This window comes from Homo sapiens, chromosome 4 (genome assembly GCF_000001405.40).
Source record: "Homo sapiens chromosome 4, GRCh38.p14 Primary Assembly".
NCBI classification, from domain to species: Eukaryota; Metazoa; Chordata; class Mammalia; order Primates; family Hominidae; genus Homo; species Homo sapiens.
The window spans coordinates 39,329,931-39,347,428 of record NC_000004.12 but is presented as its reverse complement, the minus strand read 5'-3'; the positions used below and the strand labels follow the sequence as shown (position 1 = coordinate 39,347,428).

General features: G+C 36.7%; 1 protein-coding gene across 7 annotated transcripts in view; it reads left to right on the top strand.

Annotated features, from left to right (window-relative positions):
• The window catches only part of RFC1 (replication factor C subunit 1), a 78,907-nt gene that overhangs the window by 18,934 nt on the left and 42,475 nt on the right, over nt 1–17,498 (top strand). For all 7 annotated transcript variants that reach the window (XR_007057951.1, XM_047416054.1, NM_001363495.2 and 4 more), the window contains exons 3-4: nt 1,953–2,028; nt 4,962–5,084. Coding sequence is in view for 6 of the 7 variants with exons in the window: in XM_047416054.1 (XP_047272010.1) it covers nt 1,953–2,028; nt 4,962–5,084 (199 nt within the window). In the remaining variant the exon portion in view is untranslated. The remainder of the gene's footprint in view (nt 1–1,952; nt 2,029–4,961; nt 5,085–17,498) is intronic.

The window sequence follows — 17,498 nt, the reverse complement described above, 5'->3', positions numbered from 1 at the left end:
GGTAGAGCTGATGTTTTAGTTGGAGTCCAACGGCAGGAAGAAAGTGTCCCAGAGATATCCCAGCTCTAAGGCAGTCGGGCAGGAGGAATTCCCTCTCATTCAGCAGAGGGTTGGCCTTTGTTCTTTCCAGGCTTTCAGCTGATTAGATGAGGCTTAATGCCATTAGGGAGGGCAGTCTGCTTTACTTAGTCAATTGATTTAAATATTAAGCTCATTCAAAAACACCCTTGTAGAAACACCTAATATGATGTTTGACCAAATATCTGGACATCTTGTGGTTCAGTCAGGTTCACATATGAAATTAGCCTCCACAGGTCACATTTCCTCTTTGCATGTTCTAGTTATTTTGGATTTATCTTGGACATTGTGAACGATACAGTGTAGGAACTTTGGATCCTGTTATTCCTTCAAAGAGTGTTCTTTTGGTTTATCAGGCATTGATCTTGGCTGTACTCAAGCTCCAAACTCTTGTCTCCCCTGTAATGGGCAGCAGCTGAAATCTTTATTCAATTCTTTTAACCTTAGCTAAGCTATAGGAGTTGTTCCACATATGTATAATTCAGGAGATAGCCAGAGATTTGGGTAAAGTTTACAGGCAGAATTTGGGATTTCTTTCTGTGGCTTTCTCCTTTACTTGATACCTTCTTCTCTTACTTTTGAGGTGTGGTTGATTCTGACTCTGTCCTTGATCCAGTGGTATATATAAATTATAATTGCTCATTTGTTCCATTTTCTTGCAAGCTAGTTGATTGTTCTTATGTTTTTGAAGTTTTATTATAATGGATAGAAATAGTTTCTATTTCTACCTTATAATTGATTACAATCAGTTTTTTCACTGCCTTCTTGATGCTTTCTGAGAAAATTTGAATATGTTAGAAATGTGATGTTTAACTACAAAATATATAATAATACCTTTTGCATTGGTTTTATTTAGTACTTTTTTTTTTTTTTTGAGACGGAATTTTGCTCTTGTTGCCCAGGCTGGCATGCAATGGCGCGATCTTGGCTTACTGCAACCTCTGCCCCCCAGGTTCAAGCGATTCTCCTGCCTCAGCCTCCCAAGTAGCTGGGATTACAGGCATGTACCACCACGCCTGGCTAATTTTGTATTTTTAGTAGAGACGGAGTTTCTTCATGTTGGTCAGGCTGGTCTTGAACTCCTGACTTCAGGTGATCTGCCCGCCTCGGCCTCCCAAAGTGTTGGGATTACAGGCGTGAGCCACTGAGCCTGGCTGGTTCTATTTAGTTTCCTAACAGGCATTGGCTAGTGGTAGGCCACTAGCTTAGCATTTATTCCTGTTTCTGTCGTTTCATTTTCAGGAAGCACTTGCCTTGTAATATCTGATATCCTTTTATTCTTTGTTGTATACATAGGTTAGTGTTGAAAATGGAGCTGAATAATAATATAGCGTTTTCTGTAATTATTTTTTTCCCATTGTGGTACAGTTACTGTCTGGCCTATTTTTAGCCAATAAGGGTATATTACTGACAGTTTAGTCTGGAGAATTCTTTGTTGTGGAGGACTGTCCTGTGCATTGTAGGATGTTTAGTAGCATCCCTGATCTACCTGTTACATGACAGTAAACCTCCCTACCCCCATTTGTGATAAGTAAAAATGTTTCTAGACATTGACAAATGCCTTCTGGGGGGCGGGGATGCAAAATTCCCCCTGGTTAAAACGACTGAGCCCAAATCTAACGAGAAAAAAGGATAGCCCCGTCTCTACTAAAAATACAAAAAATTAGCCAGGCATTGTGGCGGGTTTCTGTGGTCCCAGCTACTCAGAAGGCTGAGGCAGGAGAATGGCGTGAACCTGGGAGGCGGAGCTTGCAGTGAGCCGAGATCGTGCCACTGCGCTCCAGCCTGGATGACAGAGTGAGACTCCGTCTCAAAAAAAAAAAAGATAGTTATATAGGCTTCTTTATGTTCTAATTATATTGTGATGTTTATAGGTAAATAGCTCCCGTAAAGAGGATGACTTCAAACAAAAGCAACCAAGCAAGAAAAAGAGGATCATCTATGATTCAGGTAATAATTTCTTCTGAGGAGCTTTAAAATTTTAAAGTTATTGTATATCCCTTAGAACAGTGCTTTAAACTATGTTCTAAGGATGGGTGCGGTGGCTCATGCCTGTAATCGCAATCGCAGCACTTTGGGAGGCAAAGGCAGGCAGATGACTTGAGGTCAGGAGTTCGAGACCAGCCTGGCCAACATGGTGAAACCCCTTCTCTGTTAAAAATACAAAAATTAGCTGGGCGTGGTGGCACGCGCCTGCAATCCCAGCTACTCAGGAGGCTGAGATATGAGAATTGCTTGAATCCCAGAGGCAGAGGTTGCAGTGAGCCAAGATCGCCACTGCACTCCAATCTGGGTAGTGAGACTTTGTCTCAAGAAAAAACAAAAAAATTATAAATAAATAAATCAACTATGTTCTGAGATACGTAGCTCTCTGAGATGTTAATAAGTCCTGTGAGAAGAGGGCTGTATGCTCAAGTAAAATTTCAAACAATTTTATTATAGAACTTATCAGAACCAAAATATGTTTGTATTAAAGATTCCTTCAGAAAGTGATATAGTATGCAGCATTTGTCAAACTTATTTTGAATGTGATATATGTGTTTTTATTTAATTTAATTAATTTATTTAGAGACAGTCTTGCCCTGTTGCCCAGGTTGGAGTGCAGTGGTGCGATCTGGGCTCACTGCAACCTCTACCTCCCAGGTTCAAGCGATTCTTGCGCTTTGGCCACCTGTAGCTGGAACCACAGGCGTGCAGCACCACATCTAGCTAATTTTTATAATTTTAGTAGAGATGAAATTTTATAATTTTAGTAGAGATGGGGTTTCACCACGTAGACAAGGCTGGTCTCAAACTCCTGGCCTCAAACAATTCGCCTTCCTCGGCCTCTCAAAGTCTTGGGATTACAGGCATGAGCCTCTGGCCCTATTATTTTTTAAAATACTTGTATTAATTTCTTTTCCAGTTGAGGTTGTTGGAAGTTAAATTTGAAAAATAGTGCCTTAGAATACTGTTTTTAAAGCAAAGATCTAAAATTTAATTTTTGTGCTTTATTGAAAGATCTGGCTTTTTTGGGTTGCATTTAAAAAGGAATAAACACAATTTAAAGGCTTTTCTTTGAACATAATTTTAAAATAGGGAACATGAATTTTTTTGCATGCCTTTTATGATGCACAAAATGATGGTAAAATGGTAGAATTCAGAAAGTTTCAGTTTTTGCTTTTGTGGACAAGATCTGCTGTATTAATTCTCTCTTTCTGTTTTATTTTTATCTGGTGTGAATTTTTTTTTTTTTTTGAGACGGAATTTTGCTCTGTCACCCAGGCTGGAGTGCAATGGCATGATCTTGGGTCAGTGTAACCTCTGTCTCCTGGGTTCAAGCGATTCTCCTGCCTCAGCCTCCCAGGTAGCTGGGATTACAGGTGCCCACCACCATGCCCAGCTAATTTTTGTAGCTTTTAGTAGAAAAGGGGTTTCACCATGTTGGCCAGGCTGGTCTCGAACTCCTGACCTCAGGTGATTTTGCCTGCCTCGGCCTCCCAAAGTGTCGGGATTACAGGCATGAGCCACCACACCCGGCCTTCTGGTGTGAATTCTTAAAATAAAAAATGTGCCTAAAGAAGGATTGTCAAAATTTTCACAGTACTATCAAAGGTTCTGAATTCTGAAAGTACTTAAGTGTTTACTCTGTGCCTTTTATTGCTCTATATTGTAAAGAATTTGAAAGAAGTACGCGTTCCTCTTCCTCAGGAGTTTTGTTTGTTGGGAAACTGGACATTTGTTTGATACAGTTTACTACAGTGTGACAGGATTTATAAATGCATGGTGCAGGGGAAGAGGAAGGACACTAAAGTTTATGAAACATCTATTTTGTACCAGGCACTGTGCCAGGTACTCACACTTTGTTCTGATTTATATTTAAGTGCCCTGGGAGATTAGGCTGTGGTAGACAGAATAATGCCCCCAAAAGATATCCACAGCCTAATTCCTAGAACCTGTGACTATATTAGGTTATATGGCAAAGGGAAGTAAAAGTTACAGATGGTGTTAAGATGGCTAATCAGATGACCTTAAAAATAGGGAGATTAGGCCAGGCGTGGTGGCTCTTGCCTGTAATCCCAGCACTTTTGGAGGCTGAGGTGGGCGGATCACTTGAGGTCAGGATTTCCAGACCAGCCTGGCCAACATAGTAAAACCCTGTCTCTACTAAAAATACAAAAATTATCTGGGCGTGGTGGCACGCGCCTGTAGTCCCAGCTACTCAGGAGTCTGAGGCAGGAGAATCGCTTGAACCTGGAAGGCAGAGGTTGCAGTGAGCTGAGATCACGCCACTGCACTCCACAACAGAGCGAGACTCCGTCTCAAAAAAGAAAAAAAAATAGGGAGATTATCCTGGATTATTTGGATGGGCTCAGTGTAGTCACAAGGAATAGGGAGGTAGAAAAAGGGTTTAGAGAGTGAGATTAACTGTGGAGGAAGATTAGAGGATCCGGGAGATGGCAACGTGAGGGCTTTCGCTTGATGTTGCTGGCTTTGAAGATGCAGGAAGGGTCTTTGAGCCAAGAATGCTGGCATCCACTGGAGACTGGAAAAGGCAAATAAAATTCTTTCTTAGAGTATTCAGAAAGGAACATAGCCCTGCTGGTACCTTGACTGGCCCAGTGAGACCCATATTTGCCATCTATCTAACCTCCAGAACTGGAAGATAATAAATTTAGTGGCTTAGTTGTTTTAAGCCACTAAGTTTGTGGTCATTTATTATAGCTGGAATAGGAAACTAATACATAGGCTTAGCACTGAGTAAAAGTAACCTGTGAGAATTCACAGAAGACATGTGCCTTGAAAAAGACCTTGAGGAATTGGTTCACCGTGACTACTTTAAACATGCACTATATTATAATAGTTCTTTTCAAAGTTTTGTTTTATTTTTCTCTCACATACAGATTCAGAGTCAGAGGAGACGTTGCAGGTAAAAAATGCCAAAAAGCCACCAGAAAAACTGCCAGTATCTTCTAAACCTGGTAAAATTTCACGGCAGGATCCTGTTACATACATTTCAGAAACAGGTAAGGTTGCATTGTGGTATATGAGATGCCGTGTGTGTTATGTTCTTGAGTTTTTTGTTGGTGTCTAAATGTACCTCCTTCACTTTGAATGGAATTTCTACTGCCTTTTTGCTTTGTTGAGTTATATTTGTCAGGGAAGGCTGGGATCATCTTTTGCATTTCCAGTAGATTAAGGACCAATTACAGGGAAATTGCTCTTGGAATTTTTTTTAAGTGCTTGTATTGAATCATATAAGTTGAAGCTTAATCTTGAATCACATATTAAAATAGTATTGGGTTGTTTTAGAACTACTTTTTTAATGCAAGCTTTTTATCTGGCAGGCCAAAGTCAATAATCTAAGTGTAGAGTGATTACTCATATTTGTGATTTATAATTTAGCACGGATGTTGAATTCCTTGTATTCTCTGGTGACACTACAAATTTAAGTATTGGGTTTTTTAAAGAAGATTGTTTTGTACTTAAATTTAGTTCTGTTACATCTGTTTTAAGAGTAATGAAAGTGCAAAGGACATTTATAAATAATTATGTGCTAATCTCAAATATTTTGTTGTGTAAGTAATTGTTTCATGGATATTGTTCTTTTATGTAAGGATCCCAGAGTTATATTGTCATCCTAGGAGAAAAACTCAGATAAGTTAGTGGTGAAGTCATTTTGATTGTAATGTTGTTAACCCTTAGAGGAGACAATAACCGGAATAATACGGGATGCTGTACGTGAAAGGGCCAGACCCAGTGCCTGACACATTGAGTAGCAGTCCAAAGGAAAAAATAAAAAGAAAAACAAAGTCCATAGGTGAACTTTGTAGGTTACGTGAAACATTTGTTGATGAAACTGTTCAAAATATCAAAGACAAAAAGTAAGTGATGTGAACATATTTTTTGGAAAATTTTTACCAAACAGACGTTTCTTTGTTATGGGCAGGTGGCTGATTGACTCTTAACCTTTTTGTGCTGTTGCTAAATATCTGCCCAGGCACACTGTGTAAACGAACTCTTAAATTAAGAGGCTCTCCTCTTAGCTCTGGCTACCTTTGTGAAGTTTTGAATACGTGGGAGGGGAGAGTAAGAACAGTATAGTGATAGGTTTATTATGTAACTGAAGGTGGTGTGATAGGGCTTTCCAGTGACACCCTGAAAAACGTCAAAGTTAGTGTGCAGCCAGCCATGGCCTTCAACTGTGGATCAGGGCTGTTGTTATCTTGTGATTTTAAGTAAACAAAAAGGTCAGACAATTTAAGCTCTGATCACAGATTTTCTTTCACATGGGACTAGTTATTTCAGACAAGCAATTTTTTTCTTTCTGTATCCAGTCATCCATTAAGATGAGCAGTTTTTGAATGTTGTTTTGTGAAGAGATGTCCAGCTTTTTATCTGGACTTTTTATGAACGTTAGGCAGTATTTGTGTCATTTGCTGGTAGCATATACATGTGAAAGTAAACATTGTCCTCATGTTTTAGCTAAAAATCTTGGGGTATGATGTACCTGTCTCAGATGGTGTTCAGTATTATGCATTATTCTATTTTTTTCTTAGAATTGAGATGTAGGGAAGAAGCTTGCTTTATTATTGCCTGTTTTATCTTTTCATACTTTATTGTTTGAAATGATAGGTGAATGGGAGGAAGATAAGCCCTTTCCTTCATACAAGAGAATGAGACTATTAAAAAAAGCCCACAATAAGATTGGCATAATAAAATCACAAATGTAAGAGTTTCAAAAAAGAAAAGTGCAGCTTTTTCAAATTAATATAGTACTGGAAAATCCTTGACGTTAAAGTAATGCTTTCATTACTCTTTACGTTAGGCTAAAACCATACTTTTCAATATTGGGTCATAAATATTTTTGTTTTATATTACCAGTATAAGGTTAAATAAAATGTGTGTGTGTGTATAATAGAATTGGGCAATACCTCATTCCATAAAACAGAATAAGTGTTCCCAATATTTGTGTAATAGTTTAAAAATTCTAATCTAAAACTGTATTGATTGTCTGGAGATTGGAGCTTCTTGTGAAAAAGTGTCATATGACATGATTCAGTTTTAAAAAACCTGTTAATTCCAAAAGATAGAATTTTTTCTTCATTATTGCATACTTTATCTTTTCCTATCTTCTGTATTCTGACTTTAAAAACAACCTTTGGTTCTATTGGCATTTTTCTTGCGGCATAGCATGTATACTGTTTAAAAGCATGGCCTTGTTTACTTAACTTTCCTTGTGTTTTAGTTTACTTATATGTAAAATGGAGACATCGCTAGTACCTGCATCAGCAGCCTTTGTGATAATCAAATGAGATAATGCTTGAAAAGCATTTAAAATAGGGTCTGACTTAGGGTCTAAAATAGTAAATGCTCAATAAATATTAACTGTTATTCTTATATTTTGACTTTCTTATAAGCCTACATCTGCCTTTAAAGACATTTTGTATTTGTTTAGTTACTTAGGGCTTTCTGTTGATTTTGTAATTGAGCTTTAGAAATTTGGAAATGATATTTGGCCCACTTATGTTATGGATTTGTGTGGTCTCGTATGGGAACTACTAGTTATTTGTGGCTATGGAGCGCTTGAAATGTGCTTTTAGCCTGAATTGAGAATGCTGTAAATGTGAAATACACACAGATTTGACACAGCAAAGGAAACAGTCAACAAAATGAAATGACAACCTACAGATTGGGAAAAAATTTGCAAATCATATATTTGATAAGGGGATGATATCTACAATGTATGAATAATTCATACAATTCAATAGAAAAACAAACAATCAAATTTAAAAATGGGTGAAGGACCTGAATAGACATTTCTCCAGAGAATGCATAAAAGTGGCCAACAGGTATATGAAAAAGTGCTTAATATCATTAATCCTTAGGGAAATGCAAACCGAAACCAGTGTGCGATAACACCTCACTCGTTAGGATGGCTATTATCAAAGAGTAAAGGGATAACAAACGTTATTCAGGGTGTGCAGAAAAGGGAACCTATACACCATTGGTGGGAATGTAGATTGGTGCAGCCATTTTGGAAAACAGCATGGAGGAGCCCAATGAAATTAAAAATAAAACCACCATATGACCCAGCAGTCTCTCTTCTGGGCATATACCTAAAGGAAATGAAATCACCACCTCAGAAAGTTATGTGCAATCCCATATTCATTGCAGCATTATGCACAATAGCCAAGATATGGAAACAACTTAAGTGTCACATGGTGGATGGATGAAGGAATTGCGGTATATGTAATAATGGAATATTATTTGGCTTTAAAAAAAAAAGGAGATTCTGTCATTTGCCACAGCATGTGTGAACCCGGCGGACATTATGTTAAGTGAAATGTCAGGCACAGAAAGAAGAATATTGCATGATCTCACTTATAATGCGGACTCTTAAAAAAGAAGTCAATAGAGAATGCAACAGTGGTTGCAGGGGCATTGGGGAGGACATGGGGAGATATTGATTAGAGGTTACAAAGTAGCAGATACATGGGATGAACAAGTCCAGAGATCTAATGTATAACATGAGGACTATAGTTAATAAAGTTGTACTGTATTTGGGATTCCTGCTAAATTAGTACATTTTAGTTGCTCTTGCCACAAAAATAAAATGAGTAACTATGTGAGATGATGGATATGTTAATTTGCTTCACTATAGTAATTATTTTACTATCTGTGTATCCCCTGACATCATGTTGTATACTTTAGATATATACAATAAAATTTATTTTAACAACACCGATTTCAAAGACTTCCTACACAAAAAAGGTAAACTACCTTGTTAATTTTTTATTATTGATCCCATTTTGAAATGCTAATAATTTGGATCTATTGGGTTAGATAAAATATACAGTTAAAATTAATTTCACTTGTTTCTTTCTACTTTTAAAAATGTGGCTGTGAGAAAATTTGAAATTTTATATGTGGCTTGCATTTTACTTCTATTGCATAGTGCTTTATAAACAATGAAAAACAGATTTAGGAAAAATGTAGGTTTCAAGTATTTTTGCTTATATTATTATACAGCTAGCTTTTTAGATTATTGTTATACAGATTTTTAGGCTTTCCGTTTCACTCCATGAGAAATATTTTTCATCATCACTTTGATTAGATCTGTCTTCTACTAGGATTTATTGATTTTTAAAAACTAATTTAACCACATTAATTTCCCAAGTTACAGGAAAAGGAAAGAACTGCTTATAAATATCTTTATAGCCAACTATTGACTCTAGTAAAATGTTCTTCAAGGTTGGTAAAAACCCAAATACTTGTTGTACTGGGTAAATATATTTACTTTTAGCTGTTTAATGAAGTGAGAGACCTTGAGTCTTGTTTGGCGAAGATTGACCTTTTATTACGGTTTCATCAGGGCCTGTTGTTTGATCGAAAATGGTGGGGGTTTTTCCTGTCTTGAATTGTTTGACTGGTAATTTTAATTGTGCATATAATTCTGGAGGCAGTTAGTACTCCTGAAGTTAAAATTATTTGAGGAGTGTTTAAATGGGAAAAAAATTGGCGATGTTGTGTTCTCTAGGTGACAGGTTACCATGTAATAAGAGTGACTTGTGACTTTGGAAAATAGTAGCAGAAAATATTCTTGGGGATGTGTGTAACATTCTCTTTGCTAACTTTTAGAGACATATAGTCTTGTGTATCAGACAAATAGGTATATATTCTGTATATGATAGAGAGCTTCTCTTAGATGTTTGCAGGGAAACCTAGAGTGATAAAGGTAGAAAATTTCCTTCAAGTGAGTATTGTATTTTTTTGATTATACTTGTTAAAAAATCAATAATTTGTACACTAAAATTCTGTATAAAAGAAACTAAATTTAGAATTTTTGAAGATGAGAGATTTAAATTAATAATTTTAAATTACCTAAGTAAATGTTACACACACACACACACACACACACACACACACACACACTTATTTGAGTAGCATCTTATTGTAAAATTTCTACAGCTTGCTTTTTCTTTTTTTTTTTTTTGAGACGGAGTTTCGCTCTTGTTGCCTAGGCTGGAGTGCAATGGTGCGATCTTGGGTCACCGCAACCTCCGCCTCCCAGGTTCAAGCGAGTCTCCTGCCTCAGCCTTCTGAGTAGCTGAGATTACAGGCGTGCACCGCCATGCCTGGCTAATTTTGTATTTTTAGTAGAGACAGGCTTTCTCCATGTTGGTCAGGCTGGTCTCGAACTCCCGACCTCAGGTGATCCGCCTGCCTCGGCCTCCCAAAGTGCTGGGATTATAGGCGTGAGCCACTGCACCTGGCCTACAGCTTGCTTTTTCATAACTTAATGGCTTAACCCTCCCTTCTTCCTTCCCGCCCAGTAGAAGAATCTAGATCTTTGGATGTCTCTCATACACTTATTTTTTCATGTCATCTAGTTTTATATCTTCTATAAATTTGATAGATTTATCTTTGTGTTCCTTCCTGAATCATTATTAAAATTGTTTAGCATTAAGGGACAAATAAAGTTTTTTTCAAAATTTGCTTTGAATCATCATCAGCACCCTGGATATAGCTGTTTAGTTTCTTATGAATAACTGTCTAATTACTTATGAATCTTAGTAATGACTATTGTTTTGTATTTCTCTATCTTGCCATAAATCAGTGTTTCTCAACCAAGGGTGATATTGCCTTCTGAGGGGCCTTTGGCAATATCTGGAGACATTTTTGGTTGTCACAACTAGGGGATGCTACGGCATGTAAGTGGCAGAGGCCAGGCATGCCACTAAGCATCCCGCAATGCACAGGACAGAGAGTTACTCGGCTTCAAATGTCAGTAACGTGGAGGTTAGAAACCCTGCCTCTTATCAGAAGAGAATTTGGTGGATACTTTAAGTCCAGATATCATTTTTAGTATTCATTTCACCTACTAGTCTGATAACTCACAGAATAAATGAAGGCTTAGGCCTTGGTTTATGCTTAGTGAGCCCTTGTCTACTTCAGTTGAGTGCCATATGCTGCTCCTGACCAGTTCATGATGTTACTGTATAGCATTGTCACTAAACCTGTCTTCTGTAGTTCTGTGGTGTGGATCTGCCTTTCTCTTTTTTTGACAATTAGGACTTCATTTCTTTAATCTTCAGGGGCTTCTATTTTATATGATGATTCAAAGGTCACTGATAGTGCTTTAGCAATTTTATCTGCAAATGCACATATTTATGAGAGCTAGATGCTTTCTTATAATCTTTTTTGGTAATTTGTTCTTCAATTCTCTTTTATTAGTGTGTATTATGGGACCTGAAAAAAATTAAGTGGCATATGGAGAGGAAGGAGATTTGAAAAGGGCACAGTAAATAATGAGACACTAAGATACTGAGGTTCCGAAGCATCTTTGAAAATGAACAGACTGTTCTGGTGACAGGTACTTTACTGTCAGGCACTTGTGAAACTGTGAGAGACATAGGACTGTATTCCTGAATGCCAAGGAAGTAGGATTATGTGATGAAAATATCATTAAGTACTAATACAATACAATATATAATAATAAAATAATATACAAAATGACTTATACTTGGCTTTCGTACTGAGACCAGCACTGTTCTCTCCTCTTGTGTGGGGAAGATGTATGTGAATGGCAGTGGGGAAATTGCATCGATTGCAGAATCACTCCCTTAACTCTGTGGTCAGGCAGATTTCCTTATATTGCCCGTTTTATGCCTTAGAATTGTAAGAAGCTTTGGGTAATGTACCTGTGGCCAACTGCCCAGGCCTTTCCCCCACTTTTTCTTATTTAGGCATTCCAGTGGACTCGGTACCTGTGTGGTGGATAACATCACATTTCAAGCCAGTACTTTTTTCTCTTATTTATCATTACTCAGCTACCTCACTAGACCCCACGAATTATAAAATAAGGTTTATTTTAAAAATATAACTGACTCTGTTTGATTCTAAGAGGATTCATTTGTAGTGAATCATGAGATCTCTGGTTTCTTGATTGAAGATGAGCAGTCTTAGGGGTTTTATTTTATGCTGATATGTATAGAATGTCTGATTTACCACATAAATGGGCAAAAGTGCTATGTTTAGTTTCTCTTCCATCCACTTAATTTAACCAGTATTTATTGAAGGCTTGGCACATACATGAACCTTTTTCTGTCTCTGAAACCAAAATGATGGTTTAGATTTTTGACTCAAGGAAATATTGAAAAGAAACTTTATAGAAAAAGGCTTTAAACACCTTGATTCCTTTTTTAGTTTTTGTTGCTAAATAAATTATTTTAATCCCCGTAACTGGATCTCTTCATTAATTTGCTTTTTGTGTATTCTAGACCAAAGAAAATAAAATCACAGAATTAGAATTCAGAGATCTGTTTGGAAAGGCCAGATTCTCAGCAGTATGAATTCCAGAATTAGACTTTTTTCCTTTTTGCCTTTTAAATAGATTTTTATATGGACCCCCACATTTTTTATTTCTCTTTTGTTATTCTTCTAAATAAATGAATGTATCTAACACAGAGTGTTAAAGCAATCTTCTCTCCCAGGCAATTCCTCTGCTGTGTGTAGGATAATGTGATAATGCTAGTTTGCTTGGTTGTTCGTACCACATTTGAGGTTATGTTGCCTATAAATAAAAATAAATGGTGTTTTTACAAGAAGACAGATATCCTAGAGGGAAAATCTAAGTGTTCAATTGTTCATGATTTTCAACCAGTTCTCCTCAATTTGACTTAGATCTGTTTATCATTATTTTATTGTAAGTTTCTGGGGAGAAGAGAACATAGTTTGCCTTTGGCTTCCTATGAGGCGGAATCCAATTTAAGCTTATTAGAAAACAAGAACAAATGTTAAAAAAGAACAACTACAACTTTATTTGGAATGTTTCATCTCTACACACTGTGTAGGATTGTAAAATATTTATTTTACATGAGGATCCTCACAGCAACACCTGTTAAGTCACTGTCTGTTGGAAGCAGCTAGTTGTCTTCTTGGCCTGTTTTGTCTTCTTTCCATAATATATTGGTATAGCCTTTAAAATGTTAAGGGCAAAGGAACTTTAAGACAACTAGTTCAGAAGTCATAGTAGAGAAACAGTAGGACTGCTCGTTCTTCAAGTTTTCTGGTTTCATCAAGGCAAGATGACAGTGTTTTCAGATATGCCTGTGGCTTATAGGGTACCATATTTATTTATAAAATAAATATGAAATCCCTTATATTTGTGAGAAATATCTCAATGCTTAGGATCATGAATTTGCTTTTTTTAATGTTATTCTCATAACTGTAAGGAGTATGGGGAAATTGGCAAATCAGGGGGCACTAAATAGGTATTAAAGCAAGAGAGCCAGTCCTTGAGAATTACCCTCCCTTTTTCTTTTCATAACTGTGTTTTACTAGAGTTACTCGTACCTTCCTAGGGGCCTAGAGAGCTGTTTATTTTGTAGTTAACAGAGAAAAGGAGCCTTATTTGCACTTTTTGTTTAACACAATGAAAACATACTTGAAGTATCTTATAGAACACTCCCATATTTTTTCTTTGGAGAGCCATGTGTAATTAAATTTTTCTCAGAAATTATAAAAATGTTTATAAAATTATGCCTGTGTTTAGCTATAGTACATTTTTTAAATCTATAGCTTGAAGACATTGTTCAATTTAAATTCATGTATTCAGAGAAGGGCTCTGTTACCCTCCACTATTGTAAAGAGATCTCTGGTAGAGGAGGCTCATAACAAGAACCTCCCCTTTTAGGGGTGATGTTTATACCTATAACATTAGGGTGCACATAAAAGAACAGAGTGATGTATTTTGTTTTTTTGACAGCCGTTTTGCTATTTTCATGAGGTTTTTTTTTTTCAGCCTCGAAATTTGGGCTTAATTTTTGATGGCTTCATGAGTCCATTGTATAGTTAGACCATAATTTATATAAAAATTTCCCCGATTTCAGCATTTCAGTTGCTTATACTTTTCATGTTCCTAATAGTGTGATGACTAGACTAAATTTATATGCAAATATTTGTCATCACCTCTGATTATCTCCAAGAGTTACTATGCTAAAGGATATGAACTTCTTTAAGGTTCTGGTGTGTTCTACCAAATTACTTTCTAGAAAAGTCACACTAATTTACACTTTTATAATTAGTGTTTTTATTAGTACAAACTCATCACATTTTTACCAATATTGTGTATAATATTAAAAAAATCTATATGGCTACCCATAGGGTCATAAAATTGTAAAGGGGAAAATCTTAAGAGTTCGTTTGGTCCAACATTTTACAGAAGATCGCAGTGAAACCCAGATGGTTAATTAAAAATAGTAAGTCAAACTTAGGTTAGAATTTTAGTTTTCTAGACTTCTGGTTCAGCACTGTTTTTCCCAGAGAATACTACTTTTATTTATTGAATGGCTGTAACATGGCTAGGTGCTACACTGGGCACTTAGCCTCTAAAATTTTGTCTTATTGTATTTGTAGAGATGGGGTCTTGCTCTTTTGCCCAGGCTGGTCTTGAACTCCTGGGCTCAAGTGATCCTTCCGTCTTGGCCTCCCAAAGTGCTGGGATTATAGGCGTGGGCCACCATGTCCGGCCCTTCAAGAAAAATTTAATCTTCCCAGTAACCTAAATGTTGATTGGCTTGAAACTGTTTTACTATTTATAGAGAAGGGGACGTAAGGAAGAAATAAGGGCAGACTTCAGAGGCTGAATGTGGAAAAAGTAGATAAACTTTTTCTCCCTGTTCAGCGGATAGATTAAGGAAAGTAGGTGGAATTCACAGGGAAGTATTTTGACTTAATATAAGGAAAAACTTTCCTAAGGAGTATAGTATTTTGCTATTTGCTAAAGAAAGAAGGTGAATTAACATTGCTCGATTTTGAAAGTATTTAAGTCTAGTCTATTTTTTTGTTAGAAATGTAGAAAATGGGGTCTATGTATTGAATAAGGAGGTAGGACTAGTTGACTAAAGATAATTTATTATAAAGTTCTTGGCATGTAGTTTAATGCTCAATAAAAACTTATTAATAGTAAATAAAAAGATACCATGAAGTCTGTGAAGCCAGCAACAGAATAGCAGAGGTGCTGATAAATAATGAACAGAAGTAAGCAAAGAAGAGTGGAGAGGAGGTAGAAACTAAAGCACTGACTCTGAAAGCTAAGGGGTCAGAGAGTTCTAGGATGTATTCAATTTGTTGTAAAACATTAGACGGAGAAAAGGGTGTATTAGTCCGATTTCATGCTGCTAATAAAGACATACCCAAAACTGGGCAATTTATAAAAGAAAGAGGTTTATTGGACTTACAGTTCCACATGGCTGGGGACCTCACAATCATGGTGGAAGGTGAAAGGCACGTCTCAAGTGTCGGCAGACAAGAGAAGAGAGCTTGTGCAGGGAAACTGCCCTTTATAGAACCATCAGATCTCATGAGAGTTATTCACTATCACGAGAACAGCGCAGGAAAGACCTGTCCCCATGATTCATTCACCTTTCTCTGGATCCCTCCCATAATGTGGGAATTCAGGATGAGATTTGGGTTAAGGGCACAGCCAAGCCATATCAAAAGGTGTGAAAAAAACATAAAAATTACCCATATTTCCCTAATCAGAGATAAAAATTGTTAATGTTTTATTGATTCTTTTCAGATTTTAGAATGTGAATTTAAAAGTTATGTATATAGCTATAGATAAACAGTGTCATTAAACATACTGTTATGTCATCTGCTTTTGCCACCTAGTAAACATATGAATATATTTCTATGAGCAAATATAGATATTTTTTATAATTTTTATTGCTGTAGAGATTTTGTTACATGGTTGAGTATACATATTAATAGATATTTAGGTTATTTTTTTTCCCATATTATACACAATACTCACATCTCTCTGTTTGTACTGCCATTGTTATGGTTGTTGAGGCCATCTTTGCCTACGTGGTCATTTACTTTTTGTCTTCCCCTTTTCTTGCCCTGTTACAATCTGCTCTCCATAGTAGTTGATCTCACCCACTCAGCTATGGGGTTTTCTGTCATACTGCTTATAAGCACGGCTAAGTGTAGTGGAAATGGAATGTTAGTATTTTAGGCATTTTTAAGGTGGTAGGAAACTAGTAGAGCACCATCATTTCAGAGACAATTTAAGTTTGTTCTTTCTCCATTAAGGGACTCCCTCTTGCCCAGAAGTACAATTGTTGAACTTAAAGCAAATAAACATTATAAAATTTAATAAGATAAGAAATTTAACATATACTGGGTATAGCTGGTCAGCTGTCAAGTATTAAAAAAATTTGAGTTTCTATAATACCATGATCATTGTGTAATTATTTTAGAGAAAAGGAAAGGACTTTGAGATTATATTCTCAATGGTTAGTTACTAGGACTATTATGGGTGATCCACGTGGCTGTTATAAATGGAATGGTGATGTTACCTAGCCTTTTGCAAAGCCTTTTTCCCGTCTGGCAAAGAGGCAGAGAAGAACCAGTAGTTAGGTAGGGAGAATATATATATATGTGTGTGTGTGTGTGTATATATATATATGAATGACTGAACCTAGTCTGTTGACTCTTTGTAACGTGGTTGAACTGAAATCTGTTAATTGTATCAGGCCTTGGATGTGCTTTAGAAAGAGTTATGGATAAATTTTTAATTAAAGCTTGACGGTAGATTGACTATAGTTGAAGAGAAGTGAAACAAGTATGTTTTAATTTAACTCTTTCGGTTGCAAACACTTTAGTGTAAGCAAAATGGGGAAATTTATTAGGAGCCTGCTAACTTATCTCATTGAATGTAGAAATAAACCTTTTGCACCTTGGTTTGTACATACTGGTTGAGCAAATCAAGGATAAAGTTGGCCCCACCTTGCTGAAGTGCTCACTCCTGGTCTAGCTGATTGTGGTCAAGAGTGTGGAGCCATCTAATGGATATATCTGTGGTTTTTGGAGGCCCTTGGAGGGAGGGGTGAGCTGTAAATTATTAGAGAAAATGTGCTTGTAGTGAAGGGCACTGGCATCCTCAGAGATTTCTACTACATGCTTGCTTTAAATAGTGGGTTACTTTTTACATTTAGTAATCAGAAACCTGTAAGAGTGAAGTGTTGCAAAATTTATAGTTTCATTTTAATATAAATATAATAATTAGAAGGTAAGGCTGAATCCTTTTGATTTTTACATATCATTAGATACTTTCATGTTTGAAATGGCAGCCACCTAAGGATAACACAGTGCCTGGGACGTAAGGCCTTTAGCAAATGTTCATAGTTGAATGAGGGAGCAGTTGAGAGGACATAGGAGCCACTCATATGTGGCTTTGCATACCAAATTGATACAGTGAACCGTCCCCCATCCCCACCAAGACCTAGTCTTCATGGTTGTCTTTTATTTAAAAAAAAATTTTTTTTTTGAGAGGGAGTCTCACTCTGTCGCCCAGGCTGGAGTGCAGTGGTGCAATCTCAGCTCACTGTGACCTCCGCCTCCCAGTTCAAGTGATTCTCCTGCCTCAGCTG